Source organism: Homo sapiens, chromosome 18 (assembly GCF_000001405.40).
Source record: "Homo sapiens chromosome 18, GRCh38.p14 Primary Assembly".
Lineage (NCBI taxonomy): Eukaryota > Metazoa > Chordata > Mammalia > Primates > Hominidae > Homo > Homo sapiens.
In genome coordinates, this window is record NC_000018.10 from 76,122,701 (window position 1) to 76,150,319 (window position 27,619).

Consider the following 27,619-nt stretch of genomic DNA (forward strand, 5'->3'; position numbering starts at 1 on the left):
GCTGGAGGAGAGAAGCTGCCCCCTGCCTTTCTCTGAACATCCAGTGTCGCCAGCAGTCTTTGCTGCTCCTTGGCTTTCAGGATGTAACTCCAATCCCTGCCTCCATCTCCACATGGCTGTCTCCTTCCTGTGTGTGTCTGTACCCAAATGTTCCTCTTCTACTGAGGACATGGGCTACATTGTGTTAGAGTCCACTCGAACGACCGACCGCATCTTCGCTTTATTACATCTACAAAGACTCTATTTCCAAATAAGGTCACATGCACAGGTACAGGGGTTAGGACATCAACTTCTCTCTTGGAAGAACAGAATTCAACTGATACAACACTGGAGGGGTGAAAACAAGACAGAGAGAGAGAGAGAGAGAGAGAGAGAGATGAGGGGCCCGCACATGCCCTGCTCATCTCAAAACTTCTCGAGAAGCAAATCTAACTTGCAGGAACTTTGAGAAAGGCAGGAGAAGCAAAAAAGCAAAATGAGATTGTTTTCATAACTTAAAGAGGCTGAAAATGATGAAACTGGGCTGAGATGTGTTACAGGAGCCTACACAGCTAGAAGGATAGATTCGAGGTCATGCTTTGAGCAAAAGCCATTAAAATACATAAATAACATTGTATCACACTTTTGCCTCTCAAGTTGAGACTGCCTCTAAATTGACTAGCGTTACAAATATCCTAACAGAAAACTATCCCTAAAACCTAGAAAGCCATATTATGCTTTGGCAATCATCTGACCATGTACAACAAATGTAATGAAAACGGTAAACCTGAACCAAGGCAAACCCAACAGTTTAATTTAAAAACTTGAAGATACTAAGTATTCCCTTCAACTGGACATTCAGAAACTTCACGTGGCTACATTGTATTTCCCCCCACGAGTTGCTTCAGGGTTGTGAAATTCACTGGACTGTGGAGGGAGCCTTAAACCTTTGTGGGTGATTGACGTCTAAAGTACCTGAGCTTTTCTGGTTCTGCTGACCCTCAGTCTCCTGGACCCTAGGTAAGTGCCTGGGGGACTATACCCCTGATCAGTTGAACTCACTGTGGAATTGTTGCTTCTGAAAGTCCAAGGGTCCAAATTCTATGTCTTTAGAGAAGAATATTTTCTTACTTTGAGTCAATGACTATTTAATGTGCTTTCTAAATATTTGAAGAGAAATGTGTTTTGTAATATTTTTGTGTATTTCTGCATAATGAATAATCTCTTCCATTCTATTCCTAACTCATCAACTTGAAAAACACAGAAGAAGAATCAGACCCATCCTTCAGTCTCATCTCTAGAAGCCCAGAATAAAATGAAAAAGGTATGAACGAGAAGAGAGAAATCACTGTTGACAACACATTTTACCTAGCAGTCCAACATTGTTTATCAGCATAATAAAATGTGCCAATACTCACCAGCACTCTAAAGTATGCACTAATAATAAATAGAGATATAGGGCATAATATGACCAATGATGAGATATAAATTTATAGCTCCTGGGGGAAAATGATGGGAGACCTCACAATGGGGAAAGTTGGCTTTGGATAAAACTAAGAACTTTTCTCCTTTGATAAGCATCTGATGAAAATAGCACTGATTTTTTTTTAGTTATAAAATCACAATCCCTATTTTGTATGATGAAGAAACAGAAAAAAATTTCCACAATATTACCTTTCAGCTCCTATATATTCCATTTTTATCTTTTGTGCATCCCCTTGATAGTTTAAAATTAACGGTTTTATAGGTAGGATAGAACTCAGTATCGTACATGCTAATCCTTGAACTGAAACATCATCAACCACAACAAATTCTTTCTTCCATTCCCTAAAGCAAAAAGCAATGAAAAACCTTCAAAGTAAGTTCGCCATTACAGCTCCCTGTAATACCTGCAGTCTCTGCATTTTCCCCAACTAAATGTTCACCCATATCCGAAGAGACAACGTAAAGTTGCTTATCAGCGACTGGGGACAAGATCATAGGTCCCAGTTTTCCTTTTTGTTTACGATGGCAAGTTAGAGCCCCTGTGTGATTGTAAGGAGATGATCTAACCATGCCTGACTTTTATATGAGCATTTAAGTTTGATGCTGAGTTTCTTTTATGGTCTCCATCAAAACTTAATATGTAAATATTAGTGTCACATCTTCCTTCCCTCTTAACAATCTTTAAAGTCAAATTTGAATTTTTAGAATACCGCAGCTATGAGTTATTTTTCCAAATCACATAAGCAGCATAATCATTTCACATTTTATGTTTTGTTTGTTTTCTTTGTACAGGTGAGCTAACTTGCACCTATATCCACTGAAATTAAGCTTGCTAAGTTTTCAGTTGGTTTTCCTTGAAAATGTCATTTGCTAATTCATTATTTATTTCATGTTCTCTCATCCTAATATGGTAAAAAAAAAAAAAAAAAGAAATATTCTAAGCAGATAGAGAAATCTATCAGCCCAGTCCAATTGGAATCTTTGTACTTTAATAGTTTCAACATTCAAATGTACAATTATTGGTAAAGAGATCAAATTGTTCCAAAACCACAACTAACCATGATAGAACTAACTCCTTCCTAATGTGAATGTATTAAATGCCTTATTTTATTTCTCCAAGAACTAAAATGTTGCCTTTTACAATAAAAATTAATAGCCAACAAGAATAATAGCTAATTTTTATTAAACGCTGAAAACATGTCAAGTACTCTGCTAAGAATTACATGCATTTTTCCTCTTTAATTCTCACAGTAAATGTAGGGCATAAATACTCAACAAATTCTCACTCAGACAGATGGCACAATGTCATTCTGTCGGTCACAAAGATGTTGGTTGCTGTGTGCTCACAGGACATGGGACTTCAGGATTTTTTTTTTTTTTGACAACGTCTGGCTATATCATCCAGGATGGAGTGTAGTGGTGTGATCATAGCCCACTGTAACCTCCACCTCCCAGGCTCAAGCCATCCCCCAACCTCAGCCTCCTAAGTAGCTGGGATTACAGGCAAGTGCCACCATGCTTAGCTAATTTTTGTATTTTTTTGTAGAGATGGGTTTTCGCCATGTTGCCCAGGCTGGTCTCAAACTTGTGAGCTCAAGAAATCCACCTGCCTTAGCCTCCCAAAGTGCTGGGATTACAGGATGAGCCACTGAGCCCAGCTGACTCCAAGCTTTTCTAATGAGGTTTCTGGGCCACAGAGTGGAGACAGTCCCTATCCTCAAAGGATGCTACAGTGCATTGTCAAAGACCAATGCGTCAAAATACTTATGGAAGAAGGTGCCCAAAAGTTCGAAGACAGTTATCTACACGGGAGGTGTAAGAAAATCACCTTGGAATACCCATCTCGGAAGAACAGGTGTGAATGCCCTTGAATCACTTGGAGAGCTTCTCTTCGATGTTAAATTATTGTAGTAACACCAAGCTCACCACCCAGAATGATGCAGTCAGCCTCCCCTGGAAGGAATGAAGGTCGTAGTCTCCTCTCCATAGATGTGTCTCATTTTCTATTTAAAAAAAAAAATGTGAATTCAGGCACTGCGTTTGAAAAGTTTGGCAGCAAAACAAATGTCCAGTCCATGTCCTGGGTCCTAGGGGAGGGCAAAAAATGGCCTCCTGGCCCATGGTGTGGCACACACATGCCCTCCTCTCCTGGCTGCCTTGTGCCCAGGCCCAGCCAGAGGCCTGAAATGTGGCCATGTATGGCAACACGGACCGTGAAGCCCGGAGATCTGCAGCATCAAGCCCCATGCATGAGCGAAGAGAGCACTGACAGCAGAGGATAGTCCTTCCTCTGAGAAACACGGTTCTTACAGGGTTGGGGACAAGAGGCATTCTGCAGCTGGGATCAGCCTCAGCTTGGCAGGAGAGGATCAAGCACCCTAGGGGACTCAGTGTGGCAGGAAGAACTCAGAGCTCCATCCTGTGGCTGCTCAGGGGCTGAAGCAGAGGCATTGCCTTTGGACTGTCCAATGCCCTGAGGATTTTGGATACGGTGAGTCTTTCTGCTAAAGAGGCATGTGAGGTCCTTGGGCAATTGTTTAAAATAAGAACAGGTGACCATATTTGCACCCCAATATGAGGAAGAGTTTACAAAGGCTTCCATTATTTCCACAAAACTACAGAAACAGGCCTCGTGATTCAGGAGACTGAAGGGACCTGGTGGACAAGAATAAGAGCCAAGTGAATCAAAGGTTTCTTTAAGGGAACAAACATCAGGACAGAATTTCATGAAGTGGTAACACAACTAGAAAGGAGCACAGAAAAACCAGTGCATCCCGCTTTTGTATAATGAAGACCCTGTAAGGGGTAACAAGACTCAGTCAAGGTCAAGTGAAGCAGATGGGTACAAACGCGAGTATTTTGACTTCTCCATTCTATCAGGGAAATTACCTCATTCTAAACCGTTAATGAAGGAAGCATAACATAACCTATTAACATCTAACTCTTCTTTCAGAAGTGCTAATCTCTTACTCCACAGAGAGAGATTCTAGAATTTCTAGAGATTTCTAGAATTTAGGAAAATTCTAATAGTCCAATTGTATTCAAGCTTCAGAAAACACATGCACTTTAAAATTTTTTATTTTAATCTTTGTGGGTACACAGTAGATGTATATATTTATGGGGTACATGAAATGTTTTGATTCAGGCTTGCAGTGCATAATAATCCCTTCATGGCCAATGAGGTATCTGTCCCCTCAAGCATTTATCCTTTGAGTTACAAACAATCCAATTACATTGTTTAAGTTATTTTAAAATGTACAATTAAGTTATTATTCACTATAGCCAGGCTGTTGTGCTATCAAATAGTAGGTTTTATTTATTCTTTATTTTTTTTGTACTCATTAACCATCCCCACCTCCCCCAACCATGCACCCACTACCCTTCCCAGCCTCTGGTAACCATCCTTCTATTCTCTATGTCCGTGAGTTCAATTGTTTTGATTTTTAGATCCCACAAACAAGTGAGAACATGTGATGTTTGTCTAAGGCATGCACTTTGTTTGGCCGACTTGAAGGTCTTCAGGAGGAACCTGAAGGAAATTCTTGGGCAATAGGACTTTCATCATGGCAACCTCCATTCGAATTAGCAGAGAAACATATTAGAGGATATCTGCCACTTATTTTGCCCTAAAACAATTGGACGTCACATCTATCATGATAGGAAGGAGTCATACTGCAAGGAAGATAACACAAGTCAGATTCCAGGAAGGCTTTCGATCCACCAAATTCAGCACAGAATTCAGGTGTGTTTGAACCTGCCCACTGTCTGAGGACAGGGTCTATGGCATCCATCCTTCTCCAGAGGGATTTGCAACCAAAAGAGGTCAGCAGAGGGCATGGACCAGAAGCATTTGTCTTATGACTCCCACTGTGCTTGCTTGTTTCTTTACAAATGGGATACAGGCTCTCCTTTTTAAATTCCCACTGTTTATTCTGTAATATTAATTTTTAAAAAATCAGAAACAACTAAAAATGTGGAAAAGACAATTTTAATATAAAAATTAAGGTTATTCCTAGGGCTATATAAGAAGGTGGCAGTTTAAAAAAAAAGATTAGGAAATAATAACTAAAGCTGTATGTCTTATCTCTTCAGGTAAAAATATCTTATGAATAATATAATCATTGTCTCTGGTTATTGGGTATGAAAAAGATAAGTGTACCCAGCACAGTGTGATGGAGGGAGACATTAACACTTTCACACGGCTGGATACGGACTTGAAAATGAGTTAGGAATCACCGGGTCATCTAAGTGGAGGATTATTCCATACATAGGCCCTAGGTCAATTTAAATTATTAAATTTATCTCAGTGGCCGCAGGGGCCAAGACGTGTTTGTGTTCGCTCTTTATCTTTCTGTCCTGTTAGCATGGGCTTAGCAAAAGGGGATCAGCAATGACAGAAGAAAAAAAAAGAAAAAGAAAAGAAAAGAAGGAAGATCCAAAATTCCTGCTTGGGCCTTTAGATGGTTAATGACTGAGTTGCAAGGGAATCAACCTACATCGTTTCAAGGGCATTTTCCTGCTGAATAGCTTTCCTTGTTGCTTTTTACTTCTGTTTTGACCTTCACATACCCACGGTGCCTTTGGTGCTCACAGGCTGTCCATAATTGAGGAGAAGGGATGACGTGGGTCATTCATGGGATGTCACTTAAAATCTGTGATTTCTTGGGATTGCCCCCACCTCATTTGTGAAGGTTAGTAGAGCCTATTTTAGGGCCATGCAGGCTGCTGTTCTGTGGTCTTGAGCCCCGTGACTGGCTGCTTTTCCATACAAGTTCCCGTGTACACAGCCCCTTGGGCTTCAGTATGTCTGCGGGGAGCACAGTGTGATAAGTCCTAACAATCCCCTCTGTATGTTGCTCCAGAGGAAATCCAAGCTGAGGCATCACATTTGCGACCTTGTGTCAGGGGAATTTTGAATAAAATAGGCCCATAATCCTAATGTATTTTAAAAGCTTAGAAATCATGATATTTAATTCTTCTCCTACAAAAGGACACATTTTCAACCCACAACTTTTCTCTGGAATCTGTCCACCCCTCTGTGGGCATGGCATGGCATGGCAATGAAGGAGGCACCTCCATGTGTCTCTGGCCCATCTCTTACCATGGAAATCTCATATCAACCAGCCCTTCCTCGTACCTAGTCAGATTGCCATGGCCTGCAAAAATATGAGGCTTTGTTCCTTCCATTTTAACAGAAAAGTGCAGTTTGACTGAAAAACATTTGGCCTCATGTTTTGCCTCTCACTTTCCTTATCAAGGCTTCTTAGTGGCTCCTTCTGTGCCCCGGACCTGTGATGAGGCCCTCAGATGTACTATCCCATTTATTCCTATAGCAAACCTGTGAGGCCAGGTGTGGGAGCTCATGCCTGTCATCCCAACACTTTGGGATGCCGAGAGGAGAGGATTGCTTGAGCGCAGGAGCTCGAAATCAGCCTGGGCAACATACTCTATCTCTACAAAAAATACAAACAATTAGCTGGGCATGGTGGTGCATGCCTGTAGACCCAGCTACTCAGGAGGCTGAGGCAGGAGGATCATTTGAGCCTGTGAGGTCGAGGCTGTGGTGAGCCGTCATCACGCCACTGCACTCCAGCCTGGGAGATGGAGTGAGAAGCTGTCTCTAAATAAATAAATAAAACAACCCCATGAATTAGGATTCACTGGTACCATTTCATCCCACAGATGAGGTCCCAAGGCTGGTAATGGTAAGTCAGTGGCCAAAATTCAGAAAACCTGAGCTGACCCATGACTGGGCCTCAGATTTTTAGGGCCCCAGCCAGGTCTGCTGCTCCTCTCCCTCTGCGTGGGCCCAGTTTACCACACGCTGGCTAGAGCCCAGCACCCTATAGAGAATTCCAAGCCCAGCCTACACCCTTAGGGCCCTAGACTGTGCCACCTTCCGGAACCCATGCAGGTTTGTATTTCTGATAAGCCAGGCACCTTGCAACAGAATCAGGAGTCACTGTGACCTCTCAGACCCCAAGGAAGTTTAGAAAGATAGTTCGCTTGAAAACTTGTATCGGCTTACCGACACTCAGGAAAGCGTGGGAACATGCTGGGCCGGGCTGTGATTCTCCTCCAAAGAGCAAACTTTCTTAAAGATGTTACAAATCCTGAGACTAGTGTATTTTCTTTCCTCAGTCAACTCATCCAGTCCTGTGGCTATCAAAACCGTCTTTATATCACCTCTCCAAAATTTCATTTTCAATCTGAACCTCTCGGATCGGCACATCCAACGGAAGCCTGGAAGCTCCTCTCAGATGCCTCCCAGTGCCTTTCACCTGACGTGACTAACTCAAAGCTCTCGACCTCTTGCCTCAGACCTGCTTCAGGTGTCTCCACTCTGATACTTCCAGGCACTGCCGTCTACACAGAAACCTGGTGGTTATCCCGGAAACTGCCCTCACCCTCTGTCCTGGGTTGAATAGGGCCCCTCAAAACGTACCTTCACCTAGAACCTCAGAACACGATCTTATCTGAAAATTGGATCCTTGCAGATGCGATTAGGATCAGGCCCTAAATTCAAGGACTGGTGTCCTTGTAAGAAGAGGAGAGGACATCCTGATCCACACGAGGAAGAACCATGGGACGATGGAGGCAGAGCGTGGAGGGACGCAGCCACCAGCCAGGAGCACCTGCAGCCACAGGGACCTGTGAGAGAGGCGGGGAAAGGAGAAGTCTCCGAGAGGCCTTGGAAGGAGCAGGCCCTGCCCACAACTTGACTTTGGACTTCTGGCCTCTGGAACTATGAGAAACTAGATTGCCCTTTCTCCATTGCCGTGGCCACCATCCAAGCCTCCGTGAATCTTGCCAGGACCTGTCCCACAGCTCGCCGAGGGATTCCCCACATTTATTCTTGCCTCCACCCAATCTGATCTCTGCAGAGCAGTGTGTTCTTGGGAAAACACAAATTGGATGACGCAGATCCCTCGTTTGAATCATTCGGCCGTTTTGCATTACTCTTAGGCTAAAATCCAAGATCCTCAGCACGGCCCCCAAGGCTCTGCTCGCTCCGGCCCCTGCCTGCCTCTCCAGCCTCATCTCACCACCCCCGCTTTACTTCTCTTTTGTGAAACTACAATCACGCTGACCTTCTTTCCATTTCCACACGGAGCCGGACTCCACCCTGCCCTGGAGTGTTTGTTTCCACTCTTCCCTCTGATGGAGACACTTGTCCCATTTCTCATCGGAGTGATCTCCCCACCCTTCAAGTCCAGGATAATTATCACTCCCTCACGGAGGTACTTCACCTCTCACATAGATAAAAATGACAATCTCTGTTACACTTTCTTAGTCCTCTGTATTTTTTATAGTTTATCAAAATTATGATGATATATTTATCTCTACAATTATTTGGCTGGTATCTCTATCCTCTACCATGCTGTACAACCCAAGATGGTGAAGGCTTCAGCATTGTATGTCCAGTACAAAACACAGTGCCTAGAAGGCACATAGTCACTGCTACAAAAAATGTTTGTTGAATGCACATTGGTTGAAAACTTGAGTCTTCTCTGAATTCCACACTTCTACCTTAATAATGTAACTCCTACCACAAGCAACAGAAGGGGAAATGTTTGCTACTTCATTCCAGAACCTTATTTTCTTTCTCATATCTAAAGTCTATGCCAACCAGATCTTTCACTTTCGGTTGCAGGGTTGTGCATGGAGCCCCTAGGTTTGGCATAGCTTGCACCCTGGGCCTGGACAAGGAGGACCTACCAGTGATGACATCATCAGCCCCACCCATACCAGACATCTGAGGCTCTTCCCCTTCATCTCTGCAAGTCATTGTGGTTGGAAAATCTTAAGTTGCCTAAATCAAACCTGGGAGATAGTGTTTCTCAAATGCCAGAAGAGACAAGTCAGAACATGTAGAAGTGGTTTTCTAAGGAATTAACTGCAATCAAATTGCTATTATGTAAATACTGGGCACTTCAGACTATGGCTTTTTTTTTTTTTTTTTTTTTTTTTTTTGAGACGGAGTCTTGCCCTGTCACCCAGGCTAGAGTGAAGTGGCATGATCTCAGCTCACTACAACCTCTGCTACCTGGGTTCAAGTGATTCTCCTGCCTCAGCTTCCTGAGTAGCTGGGACTACAGGCACAAACCACCATGCCCAGCTAATTTTTGTATTTTTAGTAGAGACGGGGTTTCACCATGTTGGTCAGGCTGGTCTTGAACTCCTGACCACGTGATCCACCCACCTTGGCCTCCCAAAGTGCTGAGATTACAGGCATGAGCCACCACGCCCAGCCAGCCTATTGCATTTTTAAAATTTTTAATTTTAAATTTTAAAATTATTGATTTGGATGTTTTACAAGTGGCAAAGGAGAGGCATTTTACAGTTTTCTGCCACTGAGCACCAATGAGCACCACAGGATGACTTCAAAGTCCTTGTAAATGACACTCCTAATAAAATTACGCACCTAGTATAACCATTAAGCTGTGTCAGCCTGTATTCATTTATTCAACTCATATTATTACCTACTCTAAACCAGGTATGTAACCGCAATGGGATAAGAGGCAACTTACCTCATCTCATTGAGCCTATATTCTAGAGAAGGGAAGGCATGAAACAAAAAATCAGAAAAGTCATTTTGAAAAGGTGATAATTGACCTGAGGCCTGAAGTCGCCAGGAAGCACAGGAGGCTGGTGTGCCCGAGGAGCAGTGAGGAAGCGGGAGAGTCATGGGATGGAGGTCAAGGAAGTGGCTGGGACCATATCATTAGGGGCACTTGTGCTCTGCTAAGAACTCCGGATTTTTAACAGGAGCGCAATGCAAGCAAATGAAAGTGATGCCGTGACCTGACTGCCGTGGTTAGAGGACTTCTTATGCTCAAGCACAAAGAACAGACCGTAAGGAGCAGCTGTGATCCAGGGAACCGGATAGGAAGATGTTGCCTGGGCCAGGTCAGATGATGCACTAGAGGAGGATCAGCAGAGATGATGGGAAGTGATTCGAGTTTCATTCTTTCAACATATGTGTGATCACTGATTTAAAGCCTGTGATAAGTCCAACATCTGGGCACCCTCAGGGATATTTTCTAGTGGTTGCTTTTTTTCCCCATATATGGGCCACACATTCCTGTTTCTTTGCGCATCCCATAGTATTTCTTTGAAAACTGGACATTTTAGATAATAGAATGAGGCAACTCTGGAGCTCTGATCCTGTCCCCTCCCCGGGGTTTTTTATTGTGGCTGTGTTTTGTTTTGTTTTGTTTTGTTTTGTTAATTCCATAAAGTCTGCATTCCCTGTTATATGGGACTACTGAAGTCTCTGCTTCATTAGCTTAGCATTCAGCTAATGACTGGTCAGAGTTTTCCTGAGATGTCTTAGCCAGCAAGTCTTCCAGGAGCCCTTTAATACCATTGTGTGTGTCAAGCACATCTTCAGTGCCCAGACCATTCCCAAGTCTCCCTTAGCCTTTATTTCCTGCTTGTGCACGGTCTCAAGGTCAGCCAAAGGTGAGTGGTTGTGGATTCCTTCAGGTCTGTCCCAGCCTGGCCATAGCCCTGCACATGCAAAAAGCCTGAAGACCTTCCGAAAGAAAAGCACAGCCCTTCAAAGCCCTCTGTGGACATCTTGATCCCCAGAATTTTTTTTAGTGCAGCTCGTTATTTTTAACAAATGCTCTGGAGATGGGACTTTTCTCACGGAACTCTGAGTCAGGTCAAATAACAACAATGCCCTGTGAATAGGGCTTTTCCCAGGGAGCTGTAAGATGGATCCAATGGGGACAGTGCCTTGGGGATGGACCTTTTTGAGGTGCTCCAAATCCACTCTGCCCTGCCCAGTAGCTGTGAGGCTGTTGGATTTTGTGATTGCTATGATTTTGAGATTCCTGGTTTTCAAGGATACTGTAGGACTGAGGACAGAAGGAGGGGAGTAGGCCAAGTTAAAACACAGCTCTGCTGTTCTTATCAATGTTCAGTCATTTTTCATGAGTAAATGCTTTTCAAGTTGTTGTAAACTTTGGTCAGTTTCCATAGTTCTGGATGTTGTTGAAAAGAGGCTGACGTTGATAATTTTGCCTGTATTGTCATTGCTTTTATGGAGAAATGGATTTATGGAAGTCCTTACTCCACCATTCTGAAGGTCCCTCCTCTAGGAAGTGATTAGATTGTAAAGATATATTTGAAGCAGAGTCCATAGGATTTCTCAAAGATTTGGATGTGAAGAATGAGATAAAGAAATGAACTGAGGGTAATTTTGAGGCTTGAGTCCTAAAAATTAGAAAAAATTTACTTCCTATTTATTGAGATGGGTAAAAATGGGAAGAAAGCAGATTTTTGCAGGATGATTTAGCTTTGGACACATTAAATTTGAAGTTCAAATTAAGCATTGAGGTGCACAGGCCAAGTAGGTCATTGGATAGACAAATCTGGACTAGATAGACTGGAAGATATCGTCTGTAAATTATAGTTACAGCAATAGAATACAGGCCTACATAAGAGGAATACATGTACACAGAGGTCCTACAACAAAGCCCTGGGGTGTTCCTACATCCTGGGGCAGGAAAATGAGGAGAATTCGGTAGAGGGAAGTGAAAATAATTGAGGTAGAAAGAGAACCAGGAGGAAGTGATGTCTCAGAAGTCAAGTGAAAAAGTTGGTACAAAGAGAAGGATGTCATCAACCACATCAAAGCAGCCAACAGTTGAGCAAGAGCAAGTCCAACAACCAACCACTGGATTTACCAACACCAAGGCCAGGAAGCACCTTTATAAAAGCAACCCCAGTGGAGCAGTGGGGTCAAATCTGTAAATGGATTCAAGGAAGTCATGTTGGGGAGGCCATGGGGACAGTGAGTGCAGAAAGCTTTTCTAGTTGTTCTGTCAAGGGAAGCAGAGAAATGGGGTCCCATCATAGTGGTCCTGCTGGGTGAGATAGTCAAAGCAGACCCTGGGCCCCGCTGCCCATGCAGAGTGTGAGGGTTTTACTCAGGAAGCCTTGGAGAATCATGTGGGACTTGATTTTCACTTATGCCCCAATCAGAAAGTGACTCTTCCACATATGGGAATAACACATAACATGGCTACCCACTTATTTTGGCAGCAAGTGTGTTAGTCCATTTTGCGTTGCTATAAAGGATTATCCAAGATTGGGTAATTTACAAAGAAAAGAGGTTTATTTGGATCACGGTTCTGTAGGCTGTACAAGCATGGCACCAGTGGTTTGTTCAGCTTCTGGTAAGGCCTCAGGAAGCTTTTACTCATGATGGAAGGTGAAAAGGGAACAGGTAGGTCATATGGCAAGAGAGGGAGCAAGAGACAGCAGGCTTTTTTAAACAACCAGCTGTCATGTGAACTAATAGAGTGAGAACTCACTCATTACCATGGGGAGGGCAACAAGCCATTCATGATGCAGACAGCTCCCACCAGGCCCCACCTTCAACACTGGGGATCACATTTCAACATGAGATTTGAAGGAGACAAACATCCAAACTATATCACCAAGCATCTGTGCAGCACAGCTCTTCAGTGAGAAGGAAGGATAGGCAAATGCAAATAATAAATAAATCCTGTAGACAGGGCTTTAGTCTATGGAAGGATAAAAGCCTTCATAGAAACCAATTGCTGTCACCTATACCTACAGTAATCTTCAGGTGATTTGTGTGATTAGAGACATGGAATAATCAGAAACCACAATTAGGGCTCTGACAGAAGAGGGCTCCAATACCAGAGAAGGTTTCCCAGGACAAGCCTAGTGAGAGACAAAGAAGAGGGGCAGCTTTCAACAATTCTTGCAAATCTCCCATGAAGGGTTTTGGGGTTTGGGGCAGGTTTTGTCTGCATTTGTTTGTCTGTGTGAATTCATATATTGGGGTGGGGGGTTCCAGTTGCTTAGTGAAGAAGAGCTGAAATTTATGTCAGATCTCATGGTTCCTTTTTTAGAGTTGCATGCATTTGTGATTACGTTCATAAATTATAATACAAAGATAGTCCGTGTTGGAGAAACATGCACCGTCCCTGTCCCCAAATACTGAGGTCATCCGAAAACACTTTGAAGCTGTAAGACCCTCCCCCAACTATTGGGCCTCATGATTACAGTCAATTCCTGGCTCCTAGATTATGCAAAGCAGGAATGTGGACACCCTAAGGACATTGTCTTACTACCTTTTTTTTCCATCTGGATATGCCACATGTTAGAATACCTCACGGTTCCCTGTTTGTATCAATCATCCTGAAAGCAAATTGCTAAGCCTCTTGCAATTTAGCACTCCCAAAATGTGTTTGATATAATGAACCTTACATTTTTTTACCTCAAATATTCTTAAAGATGTTTTCATTTATCTCATCTCTGAAAATTGCATATCTCTTGCCATGCTGTGAAAGTTTCAACTGTGTTTCCTCCTCTCTGCCATCAACAGACAAAATGGAAGCTAGTAAAAACTGATGCACTACCCTCAGTTTTTAACTCCCCAAACACACCTCATTTACTGCCCAATCAAACTCAGTAGTTGCAGCAGTTAGCCAGGCAGGCCTTACCCTGGAGTTTAAAATTCCCTTCCCACAATATATATAGTTAGTCTTAATAAATAAATGACTTGGACCATGCATTATATATCACTCAAATCCACGAGGACACAAATTATGTATAATACATTGGCTGTGTAATTTATTTATTAAGCAAAACGTGAATTTTCCATGCTTGTGTTTGGAGGCACAGTTTGTCACACGCAGCTAAATGATGTATTCTTATTAGTCCCACTCAATTACGAAGTCATCCCTCTGTGCACGGTGTATTTGTTAATGATAGTGCCACAACGCTGCGTCTACAATACCTGTGATTTTAGTGATTCATAACCGCTCACTAAAACTGTGAAAATGATAAATTGACTGCTGTTGATTAAATGCCGCCAACAGTATGTTTCATATGTGTTTGTCGCAGTTAGGAGTTAAAGAAACAGCATTGCTCAAAATCATTTAAATATCTAATTAAGCCAAGCCCTCACTAGATATAAAGAACTCATCAGGATATGAAAATAAAAAAATAAAAGAAAGCTCGGTGGGAGAGGAGGGAAGAAACGCCATCTGTAGACCCTCACCAACACAGCCTCATTGATGATAAAGACACCGTCATAATAACCATTTGAAAGGGGCAACACCCAAATTTTAAAAAGCGTGGGAGTTAGCCCCTTCTGCTCACCAGCACAGCTGCTGGGCTATCTGATGACCGGCCCTCATCTCTGGGATTAGTCTTGGGCAGTAGTGGATTTCAATCACGTATTTGGAAGCCCTGGGTGATGGCCTTTGAAACTGGAGCAAATTCATAGAGGCTTGGGAGGAGGGAGACGCGGAGGAAATAAAAAGAGAAGGAATATTTTCAAGCAGTTTCAAATCACATCCCTTGGCTTCCACTGCAGTGAAAGGGTTTGTTAATGCTTCCACATGACAAATGGCAGCAGAAAGGAAAATATCATTTCAAACAAAGATTAATTATCTTTATGGCTTTAGCTAATTTTTTTCTCCCCTTAGATTAATCCATATAGAGGTCTTGTTGGTAATATTCAAAGCAGTATAGAACAAGCCCAAGCCCAGAGAATGCTCCTGTGCTGGCACCTCAGCTCCTAATTTAGGCTGCTGGAGTAAGTATTCAGGGTAATAAAAATAGATACCTGGTGAAGCTTGGTAGTCTTATTAAGACAACCAGGAGGTGTTTATTTTCTTTCTTTGCAATTTTGAAATCAATTGAGAAATATAAGTGGAAAGTGCATGAATTCTTTTTGAAATCAGTCTTCTTAAATTATACCATGTCTCCAGACTGTTTGGAGCAGAGTAATAACAACAAAAGTGGACTATTTTTAATTTTAAAATTTTGTTCTTGCCTAACACACGTTTTAAATTTTCCTCATAAAGATAAAACTCAGGGCAATGTCCCCATGGCTTTAACATTGTTTTAAAATTAAGGTGGAACATTGATTATTGACCGCCCAGATCTATAACTGACCATGAAGAAAGAACCATGTCTTATATTGTCTTTGCAACAGCCAATTTCCTTTTAAAACTTAAAATTCAAGAGAGGGTGGTATGCTGAAATCTTAGATCTTTTGAGTGGCTCATAAGAACAGTCATGGTATGAACTTTTATAGGCGTGGCAGAGGTCATTTTCAAATTCTACAACAGAACTCAAACCCTAACACATATGTATCAATTTAAACATACTTAGTCTTGAAAGTTGGATGATTTCCTTCATGTCAGATATCCCTAGGGTACCTTTAATGACATATAAAAATTTTATTCTCACATCTGAAAGCAATTCCACAGCGTCCTGACAACCGGCATCTTAAGGACTCATTGAACCCTGACTGGTTGCTTAGATGCCTTGTATGGCAGTCACAGAGAGTCATTCCCTCATTTATAAGGGGTTTGTTTTGTTTCTTTCCTTTTGTTTCTACTGCATCAAGTACAGTTATTCATTTATTTCCCGACAGAACAAACTGACTTGATATGCAAGTTGGTACAGTGATGGCCAGAGGGCACCCAGATTCAGAATCTCTTCTTCTCAGGTTCACTGTAGTGGGAGTGGAAAGATCCTATGTCCTCACTTTTGTTCTTAATTAACTGCAAAATGTTGGGCAAGTAACTCACTCTCTGCATCTTAGATCCCACACTTCAAAAATGACAAATATTAAGATTGGTGACAATCTGTTTCCATCCATAAGGATGGAATCCTAGCCTTTGGATTGGACTCTCCTTCCTTCTCTGGTAGCACCAGGACCTCTGGTTTGCACGTGGCTCAGCATCTATCAGGCAGGTCCTGGGTGCAGCCCAGGCCTCCAGCACTCCCAGTGTGTCAGCCCGTGCTGGGGCACACGTAGGTGGCACCCCAAGGAAGCATCACTTGGGAATCTTCACCTACCAGATCACATAAATTAAATGGGACCTAGTGTCCATTTCATGTCTGCATGTTCTCTCCCACACCCTTTGCAGATTAAAAGGCCTAATCATTTTGCATAGCCCTGTAGCAGGTGCCCTCTGATTACTCCTTCTCAGGGCTCTTTGTGTAACCACCATACCCCGGCATTTACAGGGATGTTATTACGACCAAGAATAAAACAGACATGGCATGTTGAAGTCATCGTAGGGAAGGGACTAGGGAAACATGAAGCCTCACAGGGGCTGACAATCTTTCTCAGCCCCCTTGTGAGTTAGATCAAGACCTAGCCATATAGGCATCCTCTAGAAACTTCTGCTCCTTCATCAGTGATGTCATGAACCACTCTCCTTCTTAAGCCTCTTGCTTTCTTTACCAAATTTGTACAAAAACCTTTAAATGTAAAATACCTTAAGAAAAAACAAACCTGAATTATATTAAATGAAAACCCCAAAAGCACAAAGTGATGGCATACAAGAGTGCTGTCATTTTCCACAAATAAAGTTGTTCAGGAGCCCTCCTGTGAGACAATCGCACAGCAAAATGGAAATGGGAAATTTCTACAGGAGCTGTTCGCTGTAAAGAGTAAACCTGTGAACAATCTTTTTACCACCAAGGGTAGCTATACACTTAGAAGGGATCTGTTTTATTGAGCAGCTGTGCAGATGAGCAGACGTCATGCTCCTAGAATTACGTGGTGATTTTTCCAACAGTAATAATAATCAAAGTCCTTTGGAACAGTCCTTTTGTTAGTCCTGCACTGACGTCTTCAGGTATAACTTTTGAGATGAGCTTTCATGTAGAGACCTCCAGCTTCAGACATAAGGGCAGGAAGCCAGGATGGTTTATTATTTCTGCAGTGAACCAGGGTTGCAACAGAGGGGTGGGACTTCCCTCCTGAGGGTCCTCAGCACTCTGTCTGAAGGGGCTTTGATGCCACCTCTGATGTTTCATGGATAGGGTGGAGACCGAAGCTCAGGTTCTGGATGGCAGCATCCTGGGTACTGCTGGTCTAGGCATGTGACCTGCCCACATTGGAGCCAGCTCCCTCCCCCAGCACAGTGGGACTGACCATACCACCCACAGCTGGGACTGGGAACAGCTACACCCTGAGAAAGGACCCCTGATCAAAATGCCTTTTTTTTTTAATTCCATGATTGGAAATTAAGTAATTTCTGTTGGATTGTTTTCAAATGTCTATTTGAAAGTACAAATATTTCTAGGAATATTAGCCTGCATTGGTGGTCATGTATTTCTTAGGATGATTTAGTTTAGAACAAAATTTTCTCCCTAATAACCAGCTGATATGGTTTGGCTGTGTCCCTACCCAAATCTCATCTTGATTTGTAGCTCCCATAATTCCCATGTGTTGTGGGAGGGACCGAGTGGGAGATAATTGAATCATGGGGGTGGTTTCCCCCATACTGTTCTGGTGGTAGTGGATAATTCTCACGAGATCTGACGGTTTTTTAAGAGGTTTCCCCTTTTGCTTGGCTCTCATTCTTTCTTGTCTGCTGCCATGTAAGACGTGCCTTTCACCTTCCACCATGACTCTGAGGTCTCCCCAGCCACATAGAACTGTTGGGTCCATTAAACCTCTTTTTCTTTATATATTATCCAGTATCAGGTATGTGTTACTCAGCAGTGTGAAAATGGACTAATACACCAACTGAGATCTTTGTACTTGGAGAAAGAAAAAATGTTTGGAAGTATGAGGGGCAAGACAGGGTAATCTTGAGGGATGGGGCTCCTTCTAGGGAGGGGACAGAGAGAAGTGGGCAACTGTGCTCGATCCAATGTATCCTATAGACAGAGTTCTACTTATTACCTATAAAGAGGTATAGTATCACCATTTAATAATTTTAAAAGGCAAATCAAAAATAGAAAAACATTGAGATAGAAAAAAAGTCAATCAAAGTCAGAGGCAGAGGTAATACCAAATTTCAGGCTTCCTGATTTGAAGGACAATGGTTTTAATGATAGGTAGAGACCTACAACCATGTAATTGTACATGTGCTAGGCCTTTTACAATTGGCAAAAATGGTATCCTTGAATTCCTTGTCAATTTTATGCTAATAGTAATGTACATGATACACAATGCTCTGTATTTTTTTAAAAAATGAGAAACAAAATTCAAAGCTGTACTACAAGACCAAGCAATGTGAGCAGTTGGAAAACATCCCATCCATTGAGATAGGCGAAGGATGGGGGAGGCACCTTGGAAAAGCTATCACGATTCTTCTTTATTGCTGGGCAAAAATAACACAGCATTCTGCATCTGAAATGTGAGAAAGCGAAGAAAGATAGCAGAGATTAAAAGGAAGCAGATCTAGGCATAAGGACAGGACCCTTTTAAGTAAGCACCAGCCAATGTAATAAGATTGTTTTTCACTTCTTTGTGAGTTAATCTTTAAAGATATGGTGTTTGCAGGGCCCTTGGAGGTCAACTGTACTGATGGTAAAAATATTTTCTAGATGAAGCAATGCAGCCCAGGATGTATAATGGGGTCAATGAAACTTAGAATTAAAGGGACACTGTAAGAAAATCTGAGTTATATGATCACTGCCAATATTACTTGTGTGTTTTCTTCTTATGAGGATTTATCATACCACATATAACCAGCTGAGTGAGGAATAATAGAAATATTAAAATTATGATAAAGAGAAACTATAAGAGACTGTTTTAAATTCAGAGGAAGAAGAAAGAATGAGAAGGGGAAGAATGAGGGAAAAGAGAAAGAGAAGAAAAAAGAAGCGTTTTTGACAGCTTGCTTGTACAGCCATCAGCGGGCCAGATGGGATATGGCTCGTGGTGAGGAAAAGGGGCAGAGACCAAGAAAAGGTGACGCGATTCTGAGGATGGGGACGAGAAGACAACCTTGGGTTTGAAACATGCCAGGCAGGAAGATCTGAAAAATTAACTGAAAGCCAGGGAAGTCCTTGGTATCAAGGCATTTAGGAATAACTGCACATCCCAGCTTTGCTTCCAAGCCCAGCGACATCTGCTCAGTGTGGAAACAAAACTGCTGGTGGTCAAATAAGCAAGGAGCACAAGTTCACTAATTCGAGGAGCGGAAGATCATTTTTAAAGGGCATTTAGAGCTGGAAGTGCCTCACAACATGTCAGGCCTGCAGGCATTTTTAGCCTGAGAATGCAAAGGGGAGCCTACTCCCTGGTCTCTGGGGCCCAAACGAAGGTGACTTGAAGCTCTTGTGTTATCGAGTAGAGTTCGAAGAACATGAAACAGCCATCCTACAGAAAAGGTTCCTCGAGGACTGTGGGGTCGAGAAGAGATCAGAGGACCAGATCCCCATTAGGGGATCAAAGGGTAAAAAGGAAGGATCCAGGAGGAAGGGTAATAACTTTAGACTTCCACGAGAAAGACTAGAATATTAAGGTGCTAATGGCATACAGCCGGCAAACAAGACTGCAAATAACTGAATGGAGAGAGAATCATCAGGGTGATATTTACAGTGAGAGAGAGAAGGAAACTAGTGAGCTAGTAAAGAAGTAGATAGTAATGAGAGGGGAGGCTTGGGCTGGAAGGAGCCTTCAAGGGACACCTTCCCTGGAAACTGAAGTTTTCTATACATAGTAACCTTGGGAAAGGCTAGGAGTTTGTGGTGGAATCCAGCAGGAATGAAGGAAGGACTAGAAGTGAAAAATAGCAAGACAGTTTCTTCTAGTAAGTCAGCCTAGCCTGTAAGCTTGATTGGCAACAGAAACCAAGATTCCTGTCCTCACTCCTCACTATTTTTTGGCAAGGTTGACTCTCATTTGCTCCGACAGGCCAATAGAGAGTCAGGTCCACCTCACTTCAGAGTATACTCCACTGCTTCTGCCATTTCTGCATGGATGATGCCAGAATTGAAAGTTCTCTTCCAGATTCTTTCAGCCTCTGCTCTCTGGAAGTACTCTTTTATAACCCTCTTATCCGTAGATGTGGAGAAGGCCAAAGGAAACTAAATGTGTTACAAGAAAAGAGAAATGCAAAATAATGACTGCTCTGGTGCACCCTTGACTTAGTGGCTGTAGCTCCTGCTCTCTGGAAAATGTTTAGCAGCCTGGAAAAACATCCTTGCTCCCTAAGGCAGCCGCAAAGCATGAAGTCTGGCAGTGCCAGTCCAGAAAACGGTGCCTTGGGTGCGGTCTTACCTGTCACCTACAGTGCAGCTGAGTCCTCTGTAATGGTATTCAAGCTCCAGGAAGATTTTTTAAAAGTTCTTTCATCCCAACATCCCCACACTGCATTCATAGATCCTTTAATATTCGGAAAGAGGAATGGCAAAACGCCTCACCTACCTCTTAGGTGAGTGGAGGGAGACGGCAGATGGAGGAAGAGGTCCTTGTTGGCACTGGCCAGGGACACCCGACAAAGCGACAGCCAAGAAACTGTGCAGTGGAGGAGGCAGTGCTCTGGCCAGTGTGGTCTGCAGGGCCAATGTGGCAGAAGGGAGTTGAAAGCTCAGTGGAAGAATACCTTAGCCCTGAACATGCTCATGCCCCCCCAAGACCTTTACAGGAATAACCAGCTGAAGATGGCAGTGGCTGCCTTCCTTGAAGCCTCAATGCAGCGGTCAAATGGAGTGAGAGATAGAAAAACACCTTGGAAACAGGTTAGTGCAGTGCAGCTGGGTGTGCGAGCACGACAGTGATGACCCCAACCACCACCACGAGAGGCATCAGAATGGACCCTTCTCACCTTGCACAGTTGTCTGAGACATGTACTGAACAAATCCAGCACTCTGATGCCCCTCATCAGCCAGCAGGGACCCTCCATGGTTCTCTCCGTCAATGTGTGTCCACTTCTCTGGTGGTGATTTTGGTGATTTCGGTGCTTATCAGACTGAGGAATTATTACAAAACTAATCAACATCAAAATTTCTTTTAACCCCTTTTTAAGAAAAGGGTTAAAAAATAAGGTCACCAAGCCAGTAGGGAATGTTAGAAAGACAGCCAGCTTCCCAGATAGTGTTAGACCAAGCTCCGGGTGCACCTCAAGCCAGGACCGTCAAGGACGAGGACTGGTCTTAACATATCCTAGAAGAGGCATTTTGTCGGGGGCTTCCAAAGACGAGCTAAGTGCCCAATAAGACTCTTAAACCATCCTGGGAATGTGACCTGATTTAACGTACTACAGTGTCAGACTGTATCACAGCGGCAAATATATACTACATATGATTTTACTATGCACACCTACACGTAACATTCTAATAAAGCTAAAAGCATTAACATTACAGATATCACCATATCATAGAACAGAACAGGTAAAACCTACAACAGAATTCTTGGAGATTTAAAGAACTTAACTAATACATCAATGTGTTTTATTGCCATCATCCATCACTAGAGAAAAAGAACGGCAGTAGCCATGCTAATATTTACCTGACATTTACTGTATTTTGGTGAGGGTGCTAAATCCTTTACATGTATACCTAATTTAATCCTCAGAATGACCCTACGAACAGAAAAACTGAGATCTACAGAAGTTTATGGAAAAGTACCCATGATCACACTGCTGATATGTGGCAAACCTGAGGTATTCACCGAGCTCTGTCTGACTCCAGTGCCCAAGCTTCCAATCACGGTTTTAAACTGCCTCATACTCAAACCATTGATTTGTTAAAACAAAGTCTATGCAAAGTCATCTGTGAAACCAGGTCTTGTTTGGAATCATAAACCCGATTATGTTTTCTTATCCTCTACCCATCCAGCTATAGATACCAGGCTTTACAGAAGCAGAATCAGGTTGTGGTTGCAGAAAAAATAAGAACAGCGAAAGACGCGTGGGGCATCACATCTCCATCTTGCAGGAACTGGCAGCGATGGTCCAGGCCAACGCCTCTCGAGGTGGCCTCCTCCTCCCATGTGAGGGAAGGACTCACCAGGGGCTTCCCTGCTGGTAGGGCTCAGAGACGTTACTGTTATTTAACTCCAAACCCATCACCGGCGCCTGAGATGCAGGCTTGTGTGCGGGGCAGATGGCCAGCTGTCAGGGAGGACGTGAGCACTTCACTTTCAAGGACCGGTTCTGACCCTGGAGCACGCAGGGTGCGGCCTGGCGCTGAGTCCCGTGTTACTCACCTCAACGTGTTTTAACGCTGTTTCCTCCTTCCCATTTGATAACCCACCTCTTCGACAAACGACCTTCAATATTTGAGTGGTAACAGAAACGGAGCCACTGTGGCAATAAATTGCTCATAAGCTTGGACAGAAACATCTGCCGACCGAGTTAGAGCCTTGACTTTCCCCACGTCAGGGAGGGGAGATTCCGCTTCCCATACAATCACCAGTTGCCGTTCTCAGCACAAACCTGGGAGACTTATTTACAAGACCGTTATTTCTTTTTCCTATATATTCTGCAAAATGGCTCAACATAAACCGAGTGTGCTGCACCCAGTGGAGTTTTAAGAAAGACAAGCCCCAGTCTGGATTCCAGGGTGCAGTCCTCCAAGAGGCCCCGGTGACAAGGGGCCCACCCTGCACCTTCCCACGAGGGTGGTCCTGTTGCAGAACCAGCTACAGGTCATGCCTTCTTTATTTTCTCTTTCTTGCACTGCTCCTTGCCTTTGAAGAAGGGGCTAAAAAGAAAAGAGAAAAGAAGAAGCTGCAGTGGCAACGAGAAGCGCTTCCCCGCGCCTGGGGCGCCGCGGTGGCCCGTCCTCCCGTGTCCTCCGCGTCCTTCCCAGGCCCGGAGTCACGCATCACTCATCTTGTCACATTGAACTCCGGATGCTCCTGCCCTAGAGAATGCTCTGACTCCGGCAATTTTTCTTCATTCTCACTAACAATTTGGTAATGAAATATTGATTTTTAGTTAGATTCATATTGATGCTATTAGGTTTGCATTGATAAATCATGCTGGCCTCCTGTCTGGAAGGCTAGAGAGTGCCACACTGAGCCCTGGAGATTACAATCAACTCATTGATGTGTTAATTTGATGGATTTTTTCGTTCTGTTAGAAGGAGTGGGAGGGTAAAGGAAGATTTTTCAGTGCGGCCTTGTAAAGTTTTCACAGTGAAATCAGGGACAGTAATTGCAGGCTTCACGGGATACATTCGCCTCTGAAGAATCCTTGGGCTGATTTGGTCAGGATGTTAAAAGCAGGACAGGTGTGGGGCTGGAGGGGGAGCACGGGGAGATGTGGGTGAGGGCTGGGAGGATATGACACACCTTGTAAACACTGTTCTAGATCCCACACAGGGAGGGGAAATCGCTCGGTTAAATCCTAATTAAGCCATTTACAGGAGTCATGAAGAAGCATTTCCTATCTCCAGGACCACTTTGCACATGAAGACTGCCCCAGTGCCAGGCAGGTGTGCCCTGGGCTCTGCCGCCACCCTCCACGCTTGCTGGCAACACTGGTATGGTTCTGGGGGCATGTCCCTCTGCTTTCTCCTTTGCAAAGTGCCCCTTAGGAAGTCGATGTCCTCTGCATCTGCAGCCTATTTTAAACGGCCTCTAGATGTGATTTATGTTTCTGTGCAAATGTAATGCCTGTCATTAGGGGACAACACTTGCCCACACCCAAGGATCTTGCTGTGATTCCCTTCAAAGGCCCAGCACTGGGGGGGTGCTGCAAGCAGCCCAGGAAAGAAGGGGCTTTCAAAATGCTTAGGTAGGAATGCATTTGCCTTGGTTTGGTTGTTTTTTTTTTAAGCAAACCTGTTTCGTGACCAAACATGTGTGCTTCACCTCTGTGAGCTTTACATCCCCTTTCTTCTGATGAGCACAAAATGACAACTTCACAGAACCAAGTCCATTCAATTAAATTCACCTATGAGAGTGTGTGCATGTGTGTGCGCATGTGTGTGCACATGTAAAACTGCATGGCCTGCTTTCTAAAATAGATACAATGCACACAGACACACACACGCATGCACACACGCACACACACGCGCACACACGCATGCCATGTGTGCTGAAGGGAGCCTCTGGTGGAGGGTAATGGGATGAGGAAGGGATGTTTGCGTCAGCTTCTTTCCTCTTAGCAATTTGAAGAGCTCGGATCACGAGCCAGCCACGCTGATGGGTCGCATCTTAGCACACAAGCTTCCTGAGCGGCAATCCGGCCTCTGCAGCCTGCCAGCAGGTACTCCCGGATGATGGCACGGAGGGGAGCCTATTGTTAAACCACAGGGCACGGAGCTCCCATGGATGGAAGGTCATCGTTCACCTCTTGGCCACCCTCGTAGGAGTTGGTATTGTCCCTTCTCAAGGTTGAAACATTCTATATACTTGGTGTGTCTGGCTGTCTGTCCCTGCAGGGGGAGGGCAGGGAGAGAGAAAGAGGTGACTAATTGTAGCCTCCTCATTATCACTCCAAAGATAATTTTGGCAGCAATCAGTAAGGCTTGGGAAAGCAAGAACTTCATATAACACAAAGCTTTTCAAGAGCACATAAGAAATCACCGTGATAAGTTTTCTAACTGTGGTCATCTACTCCTAAGCCCTCAAGGGCTCACATTGCCAATGCTCTCCTTTCTTTCTGAAGATTCATCCCATGTCACCCCTGGAAGGAACCAACTCCCTCTGGGACAATTCCTGTGCCCAAGCCCCATGATACCAGGTTCAAAACTTTGATTCCAGCCCCCAGGTTGAGTATGGAGGAGGGAAATGAAGTCTCCTGTGTGGAAAGCATTTGGTCCTCTCTAAAACCTTAGGCAAGCTGGAAGCCGAGTCCTAATCAGGGAAACCCAGACGCTGGTGAGGTGGAAGCCTTTATGAAGCACGAGCTCCAGCAGAACACACAGTTTTCGGTACCAGGCAGTTGGACATCACGTCACGGGCCGGGCCCTGTAGGATTCAGCAGCTTATGTCTCAGGTGGACCACAGGGTGCATTTACCCCAGGGAGGACCCTGAGTCACCCATGCTCAGGACAGTGCTTGGACCACGGCTGTGGGCATCCAGGTACTGGGGCCACTTCCCATCCAGTAATTTTCCATCTAGGTTGTAGCCCTTCCCAATCTCAACAGATCTTCCCTTGAATCTATGAGTAGCTCTCCTTAGACATCACCCCCACCTTCACAACTACAACCCAGGCCTACTCCAATCCCAGCCAGTCCAGCCCCACAGGGTGGCCCAGGAGAGCAGGGCTCGCCATGTAGGAGCTGCCACTCAGGTCTGCTGACTTCTGGCTGCCCAAGTCCAGCTGACTTGAAACCACAGAGGCCCCAGCAAGGAAAGACATTCAGGTTAATCTCCACGAACCTCGCAGTCAAAGAGAACTCTCTAGTCAGCCTTATGAAAGGCTCCTTCATTGACTTTTCTGTCACGTCTTAACAGTGATGCTAAACACACACACACAGACATAACCCTGACCTCCAAATTTACAATCACTGGGGAGATGCACCATCTACATCAATAACCCCAACTCAGTCTGCCCTCCCCCAGGTGAGTGCCCATGCGCGAATTGCAGCTGCACGCCTGCGCTCCTCCAGTCTCTCTATGTCCCCTACCTGCTCTTTGTGTTGAAACTGAGCTTGCCTGTTAAGAGAGCATCTGCTAGCCCCCGACCCAGGAGTCTTCCCCAGCCTTCTCAGGAGGGTTATCCCCATCTGCCTGGGCCCTGCAAAATCAGTGCGGTGCTTGCTGCAATTCCCCAAAGCTGCAGGGACGCCTCATGTGACATCTCCACTCCTGGACTTCCAGTGTCCCAGAGCGGGAAGCATGGGGGACCCACTCCGCATCCCCAGGGCTCAGCACACCGCAGGGCCTAATCGCGCTGGTTGAGCTGACGAGTGATCCAAAGTGTGGCGCCCCTTCAACGTGGAGGGGTGACCACACCCAGAGAGGCGGTCTGAGGTCTACATAACAGACAGGCTCCAAGCCTGGGGAGTAGAAAGAGACGAAGGTGAGTGGGGCAAGCAGAGGGGCTGTGGAGCCTATGCCCAGGGAGGAAGATGCACACTGTGTTTTGGGGCCATCAGTCCCCGTGGGGCTGGAGCACAGGAACTACAGGAACTCAGGGAAAGAAAGCATGACTGAAAATGTGGCCTGCTGGTGTGTGGTGGCGGGCCACCCGTGGCAGAGCTGAAGTGTGGGTGCAAAGCAGTAGTAGTGGGAAATTAGTGGAGGGCTTGGAGTAGAAGTGGTTTGCTTAGAATATTGTTTTAAGAACAACTAACTTAGTATTGGTTGTAAATGGATTTAAGGGCAGAGGAGAGAAAAAAGACAGGCAGACCATTGAAAGACGACAGGATCCTCCTGACAGGAAACATTGAAGGCCTGAGTTTTTAAAAATTAAGTTAAATTAGAAATCGAGGCTTTTACACATATTTCTTATGTCCCTTTCCTCATAGCCCGGGATAAAGCGTTCCATAATCCTTATTGAGACTTTGTTGTTTCTATGCTTCTTATGAGTGTACGGATTTGCAAGAACCCAATCTAAGAGAGAAGAGTTCCTGGGAAGACATATGCAAATCCATGTTCAGGGAGGAAAGAGGAAGTGGGTTTTAAATTTACCAGAGGTGTTTCCTGCTTAAAAGAAGGTGGTAATGCTTTTCTATTCATCATGGGTTTCCTTCCCTTTCCCTTCCATCCTCTGCTGAGCCAATGCAGGAGTCAGGGGGAGAAGATATTTTCTATCTAGAAGGTATTTCCCATCTAGAAATGACCCAACTTGGAGGTCTCCAATGCACTCATAAAGCAAGTGTTCATTCAGAAACTGACATCCTGCGTATACACGGGCACCCACAACGTCAATGATTTTACTTAAAATTTCCACGTTCATCACACCACGTTCAAAACACACTCTGTTTTGACTTAGTAACCAAAAGCTGAAAGGGTCCTTCCTTTCATGTATACTAATGATCTTTGGTGTGATCAGGAGCACAAACAGAACGTGTCAGCCGGGACTCTAAGCCCTTCGATACGCAGGATGAGTCTGATAAAAAAGCCTTGTCAGCACTTTTTGACCACTATTCAATTATTTCATATTTTGGTTTAGAGAAAATAACAGACTCATATCTATGGAGCAAAAGACATGTGTAGTTTAAGGCTGTCTGTGTTATAACAGACATCTTAAACACACATCATTATTGCTAAAAGAAATCCCCAGCCAAATTTTAAGTCAATTTAACTTCTCTTGTGTCTAATTGAATCTGACTTTGAAGTTATGAAATCTCCAGATTCTGACTAGGAGCTTCAAAAGTACTAATAAACTAACTCCACGCTTCTCCCAGAACATTGACGAGCAGAAAACATTCCAATAAAAGAAGCGGAGAAGAGAAAATAATCCAGCATGAACTCACACTTCCCACATTGGTTAATCCCTT

General features: G+C 44.1%; 1 long non-coding RNA gene across 1 annotated transcript, besides 1 other annotated feature; it reads left to right on the plus strand.

The window, feature by feature from the left end:
- Window positions 1-297: 297 nt before the first annotated feature.
- Window positions 298-22,555, plus strand: LOC339298 (uncharacterized). Its single transcript, NR_040034.1, has 6 exons — window positions 298-999; window positions 1,244-1,303; window positions 3,011-4,314; window positions 10,234-10,374; window positions 21,794-21,881; window positions 22,057-22,555. It is a non-coding gene; the product is annotated as an uncharacterized LOC339298 (long non-coding RNA).
- Window positions 8,395-9,594: an enhancer, noted in NCBI's record as "BRD4-independent group 4 enhancer chr18:73843050-73844249 (GRCh37/hg19 assembly coordinates)". NCBI's record gives its function as "activates an origin of replication core promoter dependent on BRD2, P300/CBP, MED14 and CDK7 cofactors, and independent of BRD4, by STARR-seq in HCT116 cells {active_cell/tissue: HCT116}" and the evidence as "EXISTENCE:reporter gene assay evidence [ECO:0000049][PMID:35650434]".
- Window positions 22,556-27,619: the final 5,064 nt, after the last annotated feature.